This window comes from Homo sapiens, chromosome 13 (assembly GCF_000001405.40).
Source record: "Homo sapiens chromosome 13, GRCh38.p14 Primary Assembly".
NCBI lineage: Eukaryota > Metazoa > Chordata > Mammalia > Primates > Hominidae > Homo > Homo sapiens.
This window is the reverse complement of record NC_000013.11, coordinates 58,971,349-58,972,815: the sequence shown is the minus strand read 5'-3', so window position 1 is coordinate 58,972,815 and position 1,467 is coordinate 58,971,349. Positions and strand designations below refer to the sequence as shown.

The 1,467-nt window shown below is 35.5% G+C and overlaps 1 annotated feature.

Moving 5' to 3' along the window:
- Positions 411–912: an enhancer, noted in NCBI's record as "NANOG hESC enhancer chr13:59546038-59546539 (GRCh37/hg19 assembly coordinates)". NCBI's record gives its function as "activates a minimal SCP1, AML or CMV promoter by ChIP-STARR-seq in primed H9 embryonic stem cells {active_cell/tissue: H9 hESC(primed)}" and the evidence as "EXISTENCE:reporter gene assay evidence [ECO:0000049][PMID:30033119]".

Here is a 1,467-nt window from a genome sequence, read left to right as displayed (position 1 = left end):
TATACTGTGAAATAGGAGCTTGGCTTGTGCTTTTTCTCGGGTCTTCCTGGGCACTGGAGTGATTTAAAATTATTCAAAAATTATTGAAGTTGTCTGGTAATGGGCAAGAGATGTGCTTACGGCTTAAACTGACAAATGTTAGCTACTGCCACAATGAATGGTTGCAGTGAAGAATGCCAAAAGGAGCATTGTAGTGTAGCTAGATTCCCTGACTCTTCTACTGTGGACTGCAGACAGCTTAAAAAACAAAACAAAACAAAACAAAACCTATTTTGCTGCACACACCATAAAGCAATGTCCTTTAGATACGAGAAAATAGAAGTTTTTGGGGGGTAAAGGGGTGAGTAGAAGCCCTGAAAATACTTAAAATTTTAACCTCAGGCACAGAGTAGACAGACTGCTATGATTTTTTTATGTTTTTAATTTTATAGCCTTGGTTTTTCTTCTTATTCTTACTTCCCCCTCCATTTTTTGTCTTTGTTCATCTTTCATTCCCTTTTCTGATATGGAAAGTCACAGTTCAGGTGCAGCAGAGTCTAAATCATCTAAAGCAAATCAGGCCAGAAATGGGCTGATAATGAAGGCCAAAAAAAAGTGTGCCTGCTTTTTACCAGTGAATCATCAGTGTGACAATGGAGTCTAAAGATTCTATTAGCATTACAGAAGCTCTCAGGAAGCAATCTACTTTTTCTCTCAATATTTTTCACTCTAGCATTATAGAAGCTTGATTATTAATTGAGACTGGTGTAGCTGTAGCTCAGCATGGTGGTATTTTTTTCTTCCCTTTTTGTTTTTTGGTTTGTTTACTTGTAAATAACTTTTGCAATAGTTATTCTAGTTACAGTTTCTGTCTCCATATCTCACACACTTGGAATTCTCTTTCATTGAATCATTCAATGAACAATTATGGAATACCTACTATGTGTCAGATACTGCAATGGGTGCTAGACAAAGAGCAGTTAAACAAATAGAAAAAATATCTTTACAAATCAGATACTTAGTTTCTATGTTTACTCTAATTATACTATGCATGAATATTAGAAACGCATCTTCAATGACAATTATACGCCACATGGTTTCTGATGTACTATGCGCCTCTTTCTTCCCTATAACGGTACTGCCTAAAATTAAATTGTTTGGAATTTAGACATTTAACAAAAGAAATAATTATATACATTTTAAATTTTATAAATAGCAGTTAGATACTTAGGGCACATCTGACATGTAATTTAATTGCTATATTTTATGTTTGCACTAAAATATAGTAAAATACAGTATTGTCTTTTCAGTTCTGGACAGAGTTTCAGCTCCACAGACTCTCTGGTCCCCAGCAGCTTATAGAGGGACAGAATGCAAGGCTGCCAGTCTGAGAGCTACTCACATTTAATTGTGCATGATTGAGGATTATCTCTGTGTTAATTTAATGGGAGAAGGAAGCAGACAGCAAGGAAATGAAAGAGGGAGTGG